This window comes from Homo sapiens, chromosome 18, assembly GCF_000001405.40.
Source record: "Homo sapiens chromosome 18, GRCh38.p14 Primary Assembly".
Lineage (NCBI taxonomy): Eukaryota > Metazoa > Chordata > Mammalia > Primates > Hominidae > Homo > Homo sapiens.
This window is the reverse complement of record NC_000018.10, coordinates 32,353,546-32,371,654: the sequence shown is the minus strand read 5'-3', so window position 1 is coordinate 32,371,654 and position 18,109 is coordinate 32,353,546. Positions and strand designations below refer to the sequence as shown.

General features: G+C 37.7%; 1 protein-coding gene across 6 annotated transcripts in view; it reads left to right on the top strand.

Moving 5' to 3' along the window:
- GAREM1 (GRB2 associated regulator of MAPK1 subtype 1) overlaps positions 1 to 18,109 on the top strand; it is a 207,361-nt gene that overhangs the window by 99,228 nt on the left and 90,024 nt on the right. The window contains exon 1 of one of the 6 annotated variants that reach the window (XM_047437740.1): positions 7,752 to 18,109. This exon is cut by the window's right edge and continues 21,920 nt beyond it. The exons of the other annotated variants lie outside the window; for them this stretch is intronic. The gene's annotated coding sequence lies outside the window, so the exon portion shown is untranslated. Of the gene's footprint in view, positions 1 to 7,751 lie in introns of those variants that run through there. 6 annotated transcript variants of the gene reach the window in all.

The window sequence follows — 18,109 nt, the reverse complement described above, 5'->3', positions numbered from 1 at the left end:
AGCTCCACTCTCTATAGCCAGACTTACTACCCACCCTTAATCCCACTCTTCTTCCTGTATCCTGTTTGGTGGTATCCCTACCCAAGCCAGAAATCTGGGAGCCCTCCCACGACTTCATCCCCCACATCCTGTGATTAAAAATCCCACTGATTCTATCTTCTCTGCATATCAAATGTGACTTAAGAAGACAACAACATACTTCTGCTGCCCTAATACAAACTCTTTTCATTTTTCACTTATAGGGGCCTTTTAACTGCCTCCAGTTTTGTTCCCCTAAAATTAGATAAACCATCAGAGTATTTAAATCCTCGGTATTTAAAAACACAGTATTTAAAATCTATCCACCTCTAACTTTTGGCATAAATTCTTTTGTGGATCTCCAGACCAACAAGAGAAAGGCCAAGCTCCCCAGTATGACCAAGTAGGTGCTCCCTGGCCTGGGTCCTGCCAGTGGCTCTCTGCAGTGTTCAGTGTAGTTCCCTGCACATGCCATGTCACCTCCACGTCCTTCCTTTGGTCATGCTGTCCTCTCCACCTGGAAGATTGGGCTTCATCACCCGTCATCTAGGAAGCCTCTTCTGATGCTTCCTTGGCATTCCTATAATCCTCTCTTTCTGACACTAAATGTCCACATTTGTCATTGTTGTTTCCCCCAGTAGATCCTGAGCTCTTCGAGGTCATCTACAATTTCTTTTGTATCTCTAGTGCCTGTCAGAGGATCTGGCTTGCAATAAGACAGTAAGTTTTCAGACCAATGATGTGTCTATGTAGTTTGGATTGCTGATAGGAAATAGGCTGTATATATATAAAGATTGTAAACAGCAGGTAGTTTGAACATAATCTTAACGTTAGTATTAGCATCTATTACTGATCGCCAATAGGCTGTATATATATAAAAATTGTAAACAGCAGGTAGTTTGAACATAATCTTAATGTTAGTATTAGCATCTATTACTGATCGCCAATCTAAGTGGTGAAGATGAAGAGAATTGTGCTCAATCAGTTTGGAGGGGCACACGCCATATTGAAACTTCTCTTGTTTTATGCACCACACTATGTTTACTTTATGTTGGAATTTCAAATACACAAGGAGCATGAGAAAATTGGGAACCAAAGGAATATGATATATAAATTAAAGAATATTGACTTAAATAATTTAGCAAAACATGATTGTAAATATTGTGTGTTATGCCTATGGTAAAAATTCACCTTACGCTTTTTTTTTTTTTTTTTGAAACAGAGTTTTGCTCTGTTGCCAGGCTGGAGTGCGGTGATCTCAGTTCACTGCAACCTCCACTTCCTGGGTTCAAGTGATTCTCCTTTCTCAGCCTCCCAGGTAGCTGGGACTACAGGTGTGCGCCACCACGTCCAGCTAATTTTTTTATTTTTAGTAGAGACGGGGTTTCACTATGTTGGCCAGGATGGTCTCGATCTGACCTTGTGTTCCGCCGGCCTCGGCCCCCCAAAGTGCTGGGATTACAGGCGTGAGCCACCGCACCCGGCCCACCTTACGCTTTTTAAAGCATGTTGATATGAATGATGTAACCGCATTTACTTTAAAATTGCCATGAAGTAGCCCGCACCCTGCCAGTCAGTGGAAACTTTTTGTAATTTTCTTCGTGTACAACCTGTTTAAGAGTCTTGTCTCAGGTTCTTTCTGGTGATGCGTGTAGCAGCTTACAGCTCTAAGTGAAGGGTCACCTTGTTCATCCCCCAAACCTCACAGTTGAAGAAAATGAAGGACACATACACAGTTAGCAGTGGACCCAGGACTAGAGGCCAGGCCTCTGTGGTCATCTGCGCATTACTGTCTACATAATATGGACAAATCCATATCCAGAGGGAAAATGGCAGAATGATGATGATTGTGTCAGAGTGATGCTAAGAAGCCTAAGGGTATAGGTGGTTCTTTCTTTATTGACAAGATGCCCTGTGATGTGGTTTAGGGAATCAGGAAGAAATTAAAGAAATGTGCTTGAATGATACCTGACCTTCCCTCCCACCAAAAAAAGAATCCTTGATGTTTTCAACAAAAGTATTGTTATTAGCAACCATAAAATTGTCATTCTTTTATTTTAAAAGATTCTGGGGGTTGATACTGATCAGTCTGTAAATCCCTCCCTCCATCCATCTCCATATATTCTATCTGTTTATAAATCCCTCCCTCCACCCATCTCCATGTATCATACATATAGATAAAACATAACCATATAAAATGTACACATTTTTAACCTCCAACAAATGACATTACCAACAAAGTCTGTCTGTGCTGAAATTAGAAGGAAAGAGTTTCAGATTGGTAAAGTGACAGGCTTCAGAAATACTCTCTGACTAATTCCTAACTATCTCTGCTCAAAAACGTATAAAAATTATTTGACATATGCCGACATGAAGTAATTGGAATCATTGTCCAAATTCATGATGTGAAAAGCCTTTCCGCACCTTTCAAAGCAGCATATGGGCCCTGAAATGTGAATACACACTTGGAATTAGCTTTGCCTTTCACTCACTCACTCTCAGGATGTCTCTGATAACATGCACTTGTGCCAGAATGTAGTCATCTGTAGAACTTATGTGTGGGGAAGGCAATATGATAAAAGTAGCATTTGTATGCCACGACAGTTCAGATCTTCACTAGAAACAGTGGTATAGGTGTACTGTTGAGATCAAATACAGACTAATTGTTCACCTTCTAAATGGACAATTATTATATTTTATATTGAATTCACAAAGCAGATTTTTTTTTGGCTCACTATATTTAAACTGAAGTGCTAGGCATTACCTTTTGTTGGTTTAATTTTACTGGTGTTATTACCAGGAAACTAAGTTTCTCAGATTTCTGATCAAAACACAGAGCCTGTTTGTGAAAAGCCACATTCATGTTGCGTGTGTGAGAGAGAGAAAGAAAGAAAATATGTGAAAGAATGAGCTAGAAAAGTATGTAGGGCAAGGTTGTAGAGGGTCTCTATAGATGCATTTCATTCATTAAAATTAATAATTTTGCCACTTGGTACTTAGCAGTAGGGTCTGTGGACACTTTAATATATAAAAGATAGACTTCCTGCCATCTAGAGGTTATAAATAAGGCAGTTGAGCAGTGATTCAGAGTAGAAAAAGGAGACTAGTGTTTTTACCAACTGAAGAAATCTTGAACCCTCTCTTTTAATTCTACTAGGCAGAATTTTGGCCTGATATTCCAGGAAAGTAGCTTGAGAGCTGTGACACTTTGCAAATGATGCAAAGATCCAGAGGTACATGGAAGTGCAATAAAGTTGTGAAATAATATGACTCAGTGCTGATCAATGGCTCCTCATTAGCAGCAGACATTCATTAAAACATAGGAAATTTCCCAGGCACTGATGTTACAAGGGAGAGGCTAGCAGGACATGGCCCTACACTCAAGGACAGAGAGACCTAAGCTTAGAGACAAGTTCCAGCATAAGTCAAAAGTGCCTGAATCTATTGAGGAATACCATGAGAACTGTAGGAGTGAGTTTTGGAGGGGAGGAGGGAACGAAAGCTGCCAGGGCTTCTTGGGAGATCAAGGCCTGGCTTGAGCTGGGCCTAAAAAGGCATCCTGGATTTAAGCATGTTAAAGGGAGGGGGAGATAAAAGAAAGGGGGGTAAGCACGGATAGGAATGTACTGGAGATGTTTAGAGAAAAGTGAATAGATGTATTTGCCTGAGGATCTTAGTTTAGGAGTGAACGTCTCAAACATTTCATGGTCTTCTTTGACTCTGCCTTGTCTCAGGAACGCCCTTCTCCCTGCCCATCCCTCAAGCTCCAGACTCAAAGCCACCTCCTATGTGAAATCTCACCTGGCTCCCGTAGGCAGACAGCCATCCCTCCTGTGAAGGTGCTTGGCTTCTCCTCCTTATCTCCCTGTTGCTTTGTATGGTCATCATGGTTCGTATGTGTCTCCCTGGCTTGCTTAGAATTGGGACTGAACCGTGTCTGCCATCCTTGTATCCCTAAAACCTAAGCGAGTGGCCAGTTTGGAAATGCCCAATCAATAAAACAAAATAAAAAATAAAATTTGGACTTTGGCAGTGAAGACCTGAGAGATTGCTCTTCTCGTATTTGTTTTGTAAGGGAGGTAACCTCAAAACTGGGTGAATGAAGTATGAGAAATTTCTCAAAGGAGCATATCTTCTATAAATCAATGGAGTTTGGATTTTTCCTAGATGCTATATAAATCTATAAAACTAAATATCTTAGGAGAAGAAGAGGCTTTGTCTGAGTCTTAGACTCAGTATATAATCTTAGTCTTAGACAAGTTTATTGCCTCTGTGAGGAGGAAAAGCAGGCTGTTACCTATATTAGCTGTTACTACATGCATATATATACCTGCCAACCAGTGTCCTTCAACCAGTCAGAAATCAGTATCCCATGTAAACCTTAAGCACTATTGCTATTAGGTAAGTGGTATTTCTTTTAAAATACTGTTTGAAAATAGTACTTGATCAGTTTTATAAATAGAGACTATTTTCTTGGGCTTTGCAGAAAATGAAAGGATTTATATAGATATATTTTAAAAGAGAGTACAGTGTCCTGTTTTTATGTTGTGTGGTTTTGTTGTTTGACATGAATAAATTTGAAGATCTGAAGTATAAGGTTAAATATTAAAGACATGAGCACTGCTAGAGGGCTGTGGGATTAGGAAAGAGCTTAGGAGAGATTATTCAGAGTACTTTTTGACAGGGTGTTCACTGTTAAGTGTGTGACCCTAATATCATGATACTTGGTTTTTCAAGCTTACATTTCACCTGTTGACAATAAAAGCTGTATTACTGAGGACCCAAATTCCACCCACTGGTTTTTCCAGAATATTTGCAGGACTTTCTCAACAACTAAGAGCTGCCAACCCAGTTTTGGTATGTAGACCTCCCAGCTAGCCGGAAACAAAACATAATTTAAATCACTCTTTATTGCATAACTGCCCACTGACTGTACCATTTAAGTTAATGATTTTAACCAGAGTTGATATATTATGATGTGATCATTAGACTGTCTTGTGAAAGTAGATGAGGAAAATAATTAAAAGTGCATTGTTGCAGTTTTCTAGTCTACCGGCCATTTTAGGTTTTTGAATGGATGGAACTCCATGAATAACAAAGTTTCTCTATTATATACAGGTTCCCTTTCCTATAAAAATATGTAAAATTTAGTATACTTTAAAGTCTCTTTCTTGCTTTCTCCTGGGGTAGCCCTTGCCCTAATTTTATTTATGAATTCATTCCTGCAGCAGATATTTGTTGAGGACTCTTCTATGCGAAGCCCTGGACTAGTCTTTGGGTCACAAGGAAATCATAAGCCTGCCTGAAAGGAGGCAGGCTTATGAGGTTTACTGTTAAGTGTTTACTGTTACAATGTAAGGTAATAAGTAGTATTATAGAGGGAAGCACTAGGTGCTATGGGACTGTTTAGAAAGGGGTTCCTAGCTGGTACTAGGTAGAGTTGGGGGAACTAAAAGGTGATGTTCTGCTGGGTCCTAGGGTGTGTTAGGTGGGCAGGGTGGAGTGAGGGGAGGAGACAAGTGTGGCAGGCAGGGAGAGGTAGCAGTATATTTCAATGAAATAAAATTACTCATTTGAAACTACTGGTGCTAACAGTTTGAAGAAAGAAAATGGAGAGATGGAACTGAACTGATAAACAGGAATCAGATCTGGAGGATCTTTTATGATTTACTAAGAACTTTAAACAATATTTAAAGGTGTTCTGGAAATGCACCTGCACTTCTATAAATCCTCCCCTAGCCATGGAATTGCCTCATTTAACTTTTACTTATGAAATGTATTACCTCCAGAAGTGTAACTCATAATGAAAAGGTTTCATACTACTTTGTGCATTACTTTAATGGGGTTGCTTTCCTTCTCAGATGAGCCTGAGGGAGTTAGGATTAGTACCCAGAGTGCCTTTTGATGAAGTGCTGGTGGCAGAGTTGGAAGATGCGAAAAAGTAGTGGGAGTGTGAAGCAGGGCAAATCCTAAAATGAGACTAGGGTGGGGTGCAACAGGCCAGTGGGAGTGGGAACAAGTCAGAAAGTACATTGTCACCATCCATGGAGTTTTGGCCAACCCTTCCTCCTCTTTTCTACTTCCCATTTCCTCATTGTGGTATAGAAAGGTTATTTACCTATGGTATCCATAGTTTTGTACTACATGTGAGATATTTGGGTCCTTAAGTATTGGATTTATAGGAAATCTCATTGATATGTATGCATAGTGAACAGATTATTTGAAATCAAAATAATCTCTTCAGTTGCTTTAGTAGACTTGGGTTTGGAATGATAATATTTCACGATATGAAGAGCTAGTATTTTTTGTTCTGTTGAATAAAATATCATTGCCAGAATAGAACATCTGACATTGATAAATAGTGGAATATTGGAATGATATTTATTGTTTCCCAACAAAAATTAAATTAGTTCCACATATGTAAAGGTTCTGGTTATATTTTAAATTATTGTTCTGAACCAGTGTTCTTTGTGAAGCCTAGGAGTAAAGACAATTCCATCTTACAGCCCTCCGCTCATTTAAAAAAATTCCTTGTCACCATAGTGTTAGCAGGAAAAAAAAAATTCTGTAGATGGCTAAGGGCACAGGTTTTGTACAATCTTGGGTGTGAGTTTTTGCTTTGCCACTCACCACTCTGTGATTTACACTCTGAAGATCAGTTTCTTTCTCATTTTGTTTTAGAAGTAATATATCGAGAAGTCTGGAGAAATAATACACATAAAGTGTTTGATTTGTGTGTGTGTGTGTGTGTGTGTGTGTGTCTGTGCTCTTATATGTGCCTCGCACATGGTACATTCTCGTATTTAAAAACTTTGATTTGATTATCTTTGTTCATCTCTGGTGTACTTTTTCCACATTTTTCTGCTTCTGTGTTAACGTGTCTTGTGTTCATAAAGAATTTTTCTGTACATCAATGCTACAGGCTAGATTAGAGAATTTTATAAGTATATTTTACCAACCTTAATTTGTTCACTAGAAATATGTTAACACTGGCACATCAGACTTTTTTTAAAAATTTAATTTAATTTTAAGTTCTGGGATACATGTGCAGGCTGTGCAGGTTTGTTACATAGGTAAATGTGTGCTGTGCACAACAGACTTTTATAAAATCAATAAATATAGTTCTTGCTTTTAGATTTTGCTTGTCTACCATACTTATTGTTTCTGTGTTACATGCTCTGTGTGCATGCACGCACTTGCACGTGCATGTGTGTGTGTGCATGTGTGTACGTGTGGGTAGGGGCGGAGCGGTGAAGACAGGGGTAAATACTTTTGGAGGTAAGATATTAAAATTATAACCTTGGCCGGGTGTAGTGGCTCATGCCTGTAATCTCAGCACTTTGGGAGGCTGAGGCAAGCAGATCACTTGAGGCCAGGAGTTCAAGACCAGCCTGGCCAACATGGTCAAACCCCATCTGTACTAAAAATACAAAAATTAGCTGGGCGTGGTGGTGGGTTCCTGTAATCCCAGCTACTGAGGAGGCTGAGGCAGGAGAATCGCATGAATCTGGGAGGTGGAGGTTGCAGTGAGCTGAGATCGCACCACTGCACTCCAGCCTGGGCGACAGAGTGAGGCTGTGTCTCACAAAAAAAAAAAAAAAAAAAAAACATATATATATATATATATATATATATATATATGTATATATGTATTTATGTATTTGTGTATGTATATGTATTTATAATTATACATTTGTATGTGTATATATATTTTTTTATGTGTGTGTGTGTGTATAACCTTGACCAAAATATGATGAAAGATAACCTTTGCCAAAATAAGCCTTAAAGTCAGCTGTGGCAAGGTTTTCTCCTGTGACATTTCAAAAAGTTGTAGGAAGATTACCTTGAGCCTCTTCAAAATAACCTTTCCTTTTACATGTTGATGACTGAAAATCATAAGCTGTAAGGCTTTGTCTCAAAAAGTTCACAGTGTTCCAGTGTTCCTGTAACAGGGAGAAAGGGGATTGATTTAACTCATTAAACGTTTTCTAATCTAACATTTGCTTTTGAAAATTTGCAGAATTTTCAGATCTTTTACTAAAACCTGATTTAGTTAGGGGTGAAGACAGAGACCTAAGCCTTCAGTGCCCGGTTCAAAAAGGATTTTTCACCAAGATTCAAAAATCTTATTGAATCAGGGAAATGCAAAAGAAATTGTATCTATTTTAGTTTTACCTACTATAAATAATTTATAGATATCATCAAGAATTTAAGCAGGATAGTTAACTATACAATTATGACAGCATATTTATTTTATTAAAAAACAGTGTTAAAAGTAATGTCCAAGGTAACATTTACATTTGCAAAGGAATGGAACCATGGACTACAATTACAATTAATGGCTAGGCAGTTGTTTTTAATTTGCTTAAAATAATTCATGTTTTAAAGGTGTACTGTGTTCTTAAGTAAGATTTTTTTTTTTTTGCCTTGAGACAGAAAAATATTTTTTTCTCATAAGAAACATTGGTATACTTCTGTAACATTCGCTAGGGAAACTTTGGTATATCCAGTTTTTCAGGAATATTTGTTTCAGGCCCATCAATTTGGATTCAAAACTAAACCCCTTATATAACTTATTGCCATGGCTGAATACTTACAAGCTACAATTTTAGTTTACCCCAATTTAAGCAAACTTGATGAATGAATTCGGATATAAAGGTATATAAATTAAATTATATACTTGACATATTTGCCATAGGATTCCTTGGAAGAGCAGCCTTTGCTAGTTGGTATAAAATGATTCAACGTAGATGCAAATTTACAGTTTTGCAAAGAAGTACACAAATGAGTAAGCACATAATTAGTGGGATACTACTGTTTTTCAAATGCAAACATGGCTGATAAACATCTCTCCTTTCCTCATTAGTATCCACGTCTTGTTATGATAGTTACAATATCTTGAAATTTGCTGTATTGCAACTGAAACTGGAAGGGCAGGTTGAAGCATAAGTGGATGGTTAGGTGATCTCTGATGTCTTGCAAAATATTAGGGGTTTTATCCCAGTAAACACCAGCTTAGTCATCATTTGGTTAAACCATATAAATTTATCTTTTAGTCATTTCATAATTGAGGTTTTCATGGTTCCCAGGAACTTCTCTCTCTTTTCTGTAATTTGCCTTTAAAACTGATATATAGAAAACAAAATCACACATTGCAGTTGTTTATTATTGACCGGCTACATATATTTAACAACCGAAGGAAAATATGTAATTTCAAATATTATTTGTAGTTTAAAGTGCATCTAATTTAGGAATACAGTAGGAATTAGATCATTAACCCACAAAAAGTCTCATAAAGGTCTTTACAAAAGACAAGGAAAGGTATTATTCTAGAAAGTGACTTGTTCCAGAGAGATACATCATTTGGGTACCATAAAGATAAATGTACATGAATGGAAAGAAACTGTGAATCGTGAAGACTGATGAGAAAGATGAGTGAACAGGAGTCTCCCCTGGAATCAGAATCCTTGGAGCTAGAACATCTGGTATGGGAGATGGTGAAGAGCATAGCAGTGCGGGCCACAAATTGGGGATTTCCATGTCTCATCATTGTTCCTCTGTGGCTTCCCATCCTTCTTGCCAGGCCAAGCATGATAGTTTTTAGTTGCTATTGGAGGTGGCAGAAATGGTTTATAAACTTTGATTTTTGTAACATTGCTTGAAAAGAGTCATTTTTCAAGTGTAATTCATACACTTAAAATGGAAATACACACTCATGTAAAGATATGTACTGTATTCATCATTTAAATTTTTAACCTGGTACATATGTCTCCAAAAAAAGGATTGAATGAATGGATTCAAAGGAGAGAAATTCCATTCTATCATTCTACCTGTCAGTTTAACCCTCTTGATGTTGATTTAATGTAAGGTAAACATCGTACATTTTATAAACTCTATGAGGAAATAGAAACAGTTTACAAATTTTTCTAAAATAATTGGCTTAAACAGGATATTGGGAAATTATAAAATACTGATGTCAAAATCTTTCCTAAAATGTCTTAATTTCATTTCCTGTTAGTTTTGCAGAGGGAGGAATGTCAAATTTCCAAACACTTTTGTTTGAAACTAATTCTCTGTGTAAAATCAAAACTTGAAGAGAGTTCGCCTCTGCACCAGATGAATTTGTGGTTAATTATATTATTAAATTGTTAATAAGATCCAGTTGTTCAGAAGTAATATATTCTTAATTTCATTGAGGCAAAACAAATATCCAAAAATATTTTCATTTAATTTTGGATTTTGTTTTATTTTGTTTTTTTGCAACAGATTTGCCTTCCTCACCATACTTGCCTGGCTCTAACATTAGAAAATAGTCAAGATCTTTAAAAGGCTCATGCCAACAAAAAGTGAATGAGGAAGTAGGCCAGGTGTGTGTGGTTATGGTGGGATCAGAAGTAAGGAGCCAATCCAAGATTTCAGGATTATCTGTAGGTGATCCCCAAGGCAGATAATCTACTTATGAACTGTGTGAGGCAATGTAGGCAACGACAGTGATGTCAGGGAAGAAAGAAAAACCACCTACCTGCCTAAGACCTGACAAAACTGTGCTTCGTTTTCATGTGGTTGCATGGCAAAATCTAACAATGAGATAAAAAATCAAGTCTATCATTTTTGAGAATTTTATTATTTCTAAAAAGAGTATTAAGTAGGAGAATATTTTGACATAACTGGAAATGTTGCATCATGAAGAGTGTTTTTAACGTCTGAGGCAAAGGGAGAATGCTGATTAAATGTGCAACTTGAGCACAGGTGTTTAATACTTGTTCTCTCCCAAAACAAAGGAACATGAAGTGAAGAACAAATAGGGTACAGACTCTTAACAGACAGGAGAGTGAGATCGCAGAAAATGAAAGATATTAACAAATCTCTGGAATAAGTTATGGAAATTTCAAACCTAATTTAATCAGTTTTCAACAGAATGGAGCTATAGTGAGGATGACATGCCAGTATTAAAAACAAGAGTCCTGTGAAAGTCAAAACCCCCAAAGCCACTTGGTTTTGGGGTGTTTGCTGGCCAGGCATAACTCCTATAGGCAGGAGGATTCCTTTTTGGAAAAATGCTCCCCACCCCCCCAAAAAAGATCTGTAGATACAACATTTGAGGGTCCTCTAATAAACCAGTAGGCCAGTAGGCTTCCCAGGTGACCACGTTGCAGTGAAATTAACCAGTCAACAAGCCCCTTTCATGCACCTGAAACTTCCATCTGAATTTTAGTGTTTTCCTCTTAAATGAGAACTGGCAACCAAGCGGCCTCAGACTTGTGAGGAATGTCCATGATATGACAGTTAGGAACAAACCACAAACCAGAAAAGAAGAATCTTGGAAGAAATACCATATAGGAACCAGAAAAAAAGTTCCTTAATTGCTTGAAAGGGATCAGAGAATAGAGGATATATATATATATTTTTTAAACAGGATTTTTTTTTTCTTTAAGAAGCAGCTGGAAACTAAAAATTGCAGAAATAAATCCAGAATGATTGGATGGCTGAAGGGGAGGAACTTTCCCAGAAAGTCAAAATTTTCAAAAGGAGAAAAGGTAAGATAGGAAAGGAAGAAAACAAATTAGAGAATGTCTCCATGAGGATCAACATTTAAGTAATAGATGTCCCAGAAAAGGAATAGAGGCGATCATTTTGTACATTGTATAGATAGAGGTGATTCTTTTTATTTATTCAATTTTTTATTTATTTATTTATTTATTTATATTTAAGAGACAGGTTCTTACTTGGTTGCCCAGGCTGGAGTGTGGTGGTGCAATCACAGCTCACTGCAGCCTCAAACTGCTGGGCTCCAGCCATCCTCTGTCCTCAGCCTCCCATGTAACTGGGACTACAGGCATGTACCACCACATCCAGCTAATTTTTTAAAAAAACTTTTTGTAGAGACAAACTCTTGCTAAGTTGCACAGGCTGGTCTCAGTTGTTCCTCTCGCCTCAGCCCCCCAAAGTGCTAGCAAGGATCTTTTTTTTTATAAAAGAGAAAACTGATAGATCACATGATGTCCTCAACCATATTGAGACAGGTTTTATGCTTTGGATTAACAAGAATTTGTGATAGTTACGTTAAAAACAAAGCAACTGTAAAAGTAAGGCAGTTACTCACCCCAGGCTGGGGAGTGGGGGCATTGCACAGGAAAGGATATATAATCCATTTGGCTCCACTGTGAACTGTATAGTATAAACTGAATTTTTATTATAATCCCCAAACTGTGATAGGCCAAATTGGGAGGATCGGGGAGGGAGAATGTGGAGTGTGAGTATATGCGGTGTGATAAGCTTCCTACATAATGGAAAATCAGTAGATAAGATATACAAGTCATTCATATTTAGAAACATGGAGACAAGTATCAACAGAAACTGCTCCAAGAGTTAGAAATACACACCTCTAGGGAGAAGGAATCAGGTGGGAGGTATGGGGCATGGGCTGCTGGTTTTCTTTTATTAATTATAAGCCTTTTAATACCATCTGATTATTAAAACCATGGGCATATTTTAGTTTGACTTAAAACTAAAGCAGGCAGCATAGTTTTTTGCTTTTTTCAAAACCTACCACATACAGTTTTGAAATGGCACACAAATATCACAGTATGAGAGTTGTAAACTGCACAGCTGAGGATGGCTGACGGGTTCTTCCAGTGAGGTGTGGGTTCACAGGTGAGCATCCCGTGCAGTGAACAGGACCCAGCACTTGGTTTAATACTCTGCTGTCGCCGTTTTGAAATTCTTAATAATTTAGGCACAAGAGAGAACCCACGTTTTCGTTTTGCACAGAACCCTGCAAATTATGTAGCCAGGCCTGCTTCTAATAGATACATTGTTTGGATTCTAGCCTGAGTGAGGTTGCTACTACTTCCTTTGACCCTGACCTCCTAGTGGCCTGCTGTTTTCACCACTCACATATTGATAAGGCCACCAGGATTGACGTAAACCGACATTCCCTCACGAGGGAATTTGGAAGTCATGTATTGCATGATACCGTAGAAAGTTGTTACGGTGGCTTCTATGGGTTAATTCTGTGTCCTTTTAAGGAAGACATTTGGTGTGGGAAAAGGTTATTTTTAATTCTAATTAATTATGTACTGAGGGAAATGGTTTTCACAGGAAAGAATATCAATACTTCACAACAGAGAAGTGGAGAGCTAAGCTTGCAGCACCCTTTTGGGGGAGAGGAAGAAGCTTAGATCGTTGTCCAGATTGGGAAGTCTGTGGTGGCCCTGAGGTGTGAGGAGACCCCGGTGAATGAGTACACAGAGAGAACTAAAATCTGGCCCCTTTTGACAACCTGAAGCCCTCACTTGACCTCCTGTAATGAGCTATGTCCCCTGCAGGCAGTTCCCTTCCCCTGCAGGGGGCATATCTCATTGGTCACTGCATGGCAGACTGGGAGTCCCACCTGTGAGATGGGGAAGGCGTCATGGGAAGCACACAAGCCGGGTGTGCTCTCCGAAAGGGTCCCCTGTGAAAGCCTCCGTGTGGGGTGGGATGTCATTGAAGCTTACTCGGGGTGGGGGGTGGGCTCAGCTGAGTAAGTCACATAGAGAGAGGGAGGGGATAGACGGTGCTAACTAAGGGGTAATAGCTTGTCACCCTGAAGTGAGGAGGCAGGTTTTCTTGTTTGGTTAGTAAAGTAATTTTAAAGGCAGTTACCAAAGAGGAACCTTAGAAATATCTAGAGTAACAATAGTGTATGAGTAGTCATTGCACAGCCCCCTGCCCACATGATGTAATAGAATTCAAGGCACCACTAATTCGGGTATGTGTGTTCTGCTGTTTTTCTTAAGTTATTTATAGTTATAACTTATTTATTCATTACAATTATTTATAATTGCAGTGTTCCAGAGATAGCTGTATAGCTATGTTTAGTATAAGGAAGCATTTGTCTTAGATAAAATTTTTTCTTTTCCTGTTTTGCATTTTGGATAAAACAGTTTTATAAAGGATGAAAGTTTATAAAGGATAAAACAGTTTTATAAAGGATGAAAGCTCCAATGCAAGTAACATTAACTCAGGCATGCCTGGGAGTGCTAGGAAGAGCTGATGCAACAATCAGAGCCTTCCTTCTTCCCAGTCTGTAATGGCTTTTGCTATCCCTTCGGGTCCTGTGCCCATCACTGTGCTAGACAGCAGAGATAGAGGGCTGAACACAAATCAAGTGTCTCTGTCATTGGAGAGCTCACGGTCCAGAGAGAGTGAGAGGCTAAGCACTTGCACATTGAGATAAAGGTAGCACGTGAAAAGTTCCAGGTGTCTTGAGAGTTTAAAAGGAGAAGCTACTTGAGGTTGAGTTCAGGCAAACCTTTTTTAAAAAATTTATTTATTTTTAATTGAGACAGGGTCTCGCTGTGTTGCCCATGCTGGTCTTGAACTCCTGGGCTCAAGTGATCCTCCTGCTTCGGCCTCCCAGAGTGTTGGGATTACAGGCATGAACCGCTGTGCCTGGCCAAGGCAAACCTTTTTGCGGAATGACTTGTAAGCCGAAACCTGAGTAACAAGTAAGGAGGTAGTATTGCAAGTACAGGGAACGGAGTGTGTGAAGGATATGAAACAAGAACAAGTTCTTTGTACGAAAGGAATCCAGAGAGCCTCTGTGTCCCTACTCTCAGAAAGGAAGGGGCAGAGTAGCACGGGATTGTGCTACGAAGGCTGTGGGGCCAGAGAAGCTAGGACCAAAACCTCCATTAGGGATTTTCATTTTAAAATTATACATACAATGGAAAGCCATTGATTGCCATGGTTGGGGGTGGAGGGTGGCGGTTAAACAGCAGAACTTGAAGTCCTGGATCTTCAAATATCATCATAATGATGGTCCTCCTAGGAGACAGTTTTCACACTTACTGAAGGTTTTTGGATTTGTCAGATTAAGGTGGATTTGAATCCCATTTCTCTTGTTCATTGTGTGGCCTGGGACAAATGACTTAATTCCACTGAGTCTCAGATTTCTACCTTGTAAAATTGGTGTGATAATACCATATGTCATAGGGGAGATTGAAGGATATATGATATATAAGACACTTGTACAGTATCTGACATCTAATAAGTTTTCAATATATGATAGTGATGGGAGTAGTAGTTGTTGAGTTTGTTATTATTATGTATTTAGGACATTAAACAGGTGTTAATGGACAGAGGAGCAGAATAATAAATAATTAACCTATTGGGTCATTAAATAGGAGAGGGATATATCAAAGAATTTGTTCTAAGAATCAAAGAGAGGAGCTAAAAAATGATATTTGTTTGTCTTTGTGATAGCGAAAGTCAAAAAGCATAGCAGTAAAATGTGAATAATTTCACTCCTTTTCCTCCTGGGTGTTTTTACTTTGTGGAGTTGTATGTAAGAGTTCAGAAAACAAACATGGAGTGACTGGTCATTAGACATATTCAAATATTCCTGGTATATAATTATCAGTGCATTTTGAATTACTCATTTTCTCAAGGAAAAGTTTTTGGAGACTTTAACTTTTTTAGAAATGGGAAAAAAATGCTAACCTGACCTGCTTCATGGTGATTCATTCCTTTCTCATTTTGCTCCTTAAAACAAACCAAGAAGCCAGATGTTTAGTTGCCTAAGATGAAAGCTGTTTCCTTAGAAATCCTGAATGAAAGAAAAACTGCTTCTCTAGAATGGCAAAGTCCATTTAGGAGGTAATCGTGACCTGATTTAGGCAATAGAATGTGGTTGAAAAATGTTGCTCATAGCAACCAAGAACACTTGTAGATAAATTAGTTTTCTAAAATAAGCCTTCTCTAATAACTGTATATGGAATTTTCCTGTTCAACTGTACTGTGCATTCTTTTTTGTCCAATGATTGTATTGACCTAAATAGTTCGGTTTGGTGGGCTTATAACCTTTTGATTACATCCATTTGCTTAAAAATCTTCCATTTCTTTTATAGAATGTTTTTCACCTGTCAACATACTCTTGTTCTTTCTGTGAATTTATATAAAATGTAATGGTGTCAAGGTACTAGAAAAAAGTCCAAGTTCCCCCGTATTTATAAACAGCAGACTGAAATTGGTAATTTTTAATTGTCATTACTTAAAAAGATAAAAATGAAATAAACTTCTAGTATGTCTGATTTTTGTTTCACTCTTTTTAGTGATGAAACATTGAGCATAAAGCTCTGAAACATGAGTGTAAAATTAGTATTTTGACCACTTTTCTCTCTACTCTTGATTCCTTAAGTAAAATTTATGAATATCATAAATAGAAATCTAGATAAAATAGTCATGTGTAAAAATGCATCGACTCCAAATATGCAAAAAACCTTTCACAAAATAAAATTTTATTTATCCATAGATAGGGTTCTAGGCAGCATTACTTCATTATTCACCATAGGCCTCTTGCTTTGTGAGTTGTTTTTTAAATAGGAATTAGATGTAGATTTGTAAAATTTTGAAACTCCTAGATAGATGTGGAAAAAGAATACCATAATTAGACACAAGTTCTTCAATATCTATAATGATCACAAGACTTTAAAAAAATTTTTTTTCTTCCATCTTGATACCATAGTTTAGGCCTGACCAGCTACCCTACTTTCAAATTCTCAGCACATTCTTTGAAAAGATGGATTAAAATATTAGTTTCCATGCTATAGAGAAATGCCTGTGAAAAGTAATTTTTTCTTCGGCATAGGTACACAGCTGTTAATCTCTCCTCCTCACTCATTTCTAATTTTTATTCTTTTCATCACCTGTAGAGATAATTTTGTATATGGAATTTTCTGGAACAGAGTTCACTGACACAGTGGTCTCCATGGTAAATTTACCATCAGGCAAATACCGTCACTGCTTCTGACACTCCCTCTTCACTTATTTGCCTGTGTCTTCTGGTTTCTTACAAAACATTCATTTAAACAGTCAATAAAGAACAGAAACACTGGAGATCAGAGGACTGGAATTCCAGTGACTGCTCTGCTTCATGACCTCAGCCACACCGCTTTTCCTCCCCGGGCCATGTTTAGCCAGTGGAGGGAGTTGACCCCACTGTCTCTGCCGTCTCTTCTAGCCCATTCTGGATGATCAGAATATTCAATTTTGCTTTTGCGGAGAAGTTTTAGAGAGGGGGATTGTAGCTTGTTTCTCTCCTAGCTTCAATGTGTTGTTCAAATTTTAAATTTGTATCATAGATGAAAAAGAAACACTCATCTGGGAGTGCTGGTGGCATTTGGAGTTAATTTTGGACTCTTCTGATGAAAACTCCAGTTCTAACCATAGCCTATCTCCCCTTTCTCTTAACATGTATTCAGTCAAGTAACAAAGATTTATTGACCTATGTGCCAGACACTCTTTTTGGCACTGAAATCCAATATATTATATAATACAGTTGTCTTAAAGTTGGCAACTCTATCTTGAAAGTATGATGCGTTCATACTTTCAAACTAAGTTATTATTAATGTTTAGAAGTGTACACAAAAGCTATGAACTTCTTTCACATAATCCTTTCCTAATTTTGTTTTGCGTATGATATAAAATATAAATGAGGAACAGATAAACCACAACCTCTGGTACTAAAGTATTCTTTTATATTTGCTGCTACCTTGTAATGCTCATGAATTTGTCAGTTTAGATTTTCAAAATTATTTATGTATGTTATCTGTGGTTCCTTTGGTTTTACTAATACTCATCAATTCATTTCTTAACATATACCAATAGGGCATCTTTTATTTGTAATCATCTATTTCTAATTAATCAACTTGTTCAGAGATTTTATAATCTAAGGACAAAACCTTGTTTTCTTGACTTTGAGCATTTTAGTTCTCCCTTCTCTTCCTTTCCCTTCCTTCTCTTCTCCTTCTTCCTATTAAGTCTTCCCCAGATTTCTATCAATTCTAAATCATAAAGGCCCAGGTTCAACTTTCTAGTATTTCCATATACTTGTAGAACAGCATAGAATTATTTCATGAAACACCTTAGAATTCACCTGCCAGTGGTGGTATGATTGTAATGAAGTCAAAATGATTAGCCATTTTCTCCTTTTATGACTCATCTTTGTCTCCTTATTCTTCATCTGTTGGTAAACTTTAAGTTATTTTTAATGTACTTTTACCTAATGTAACTCAGAAGTCAAAGCCCATAGGTAAAGAAGGCCCTA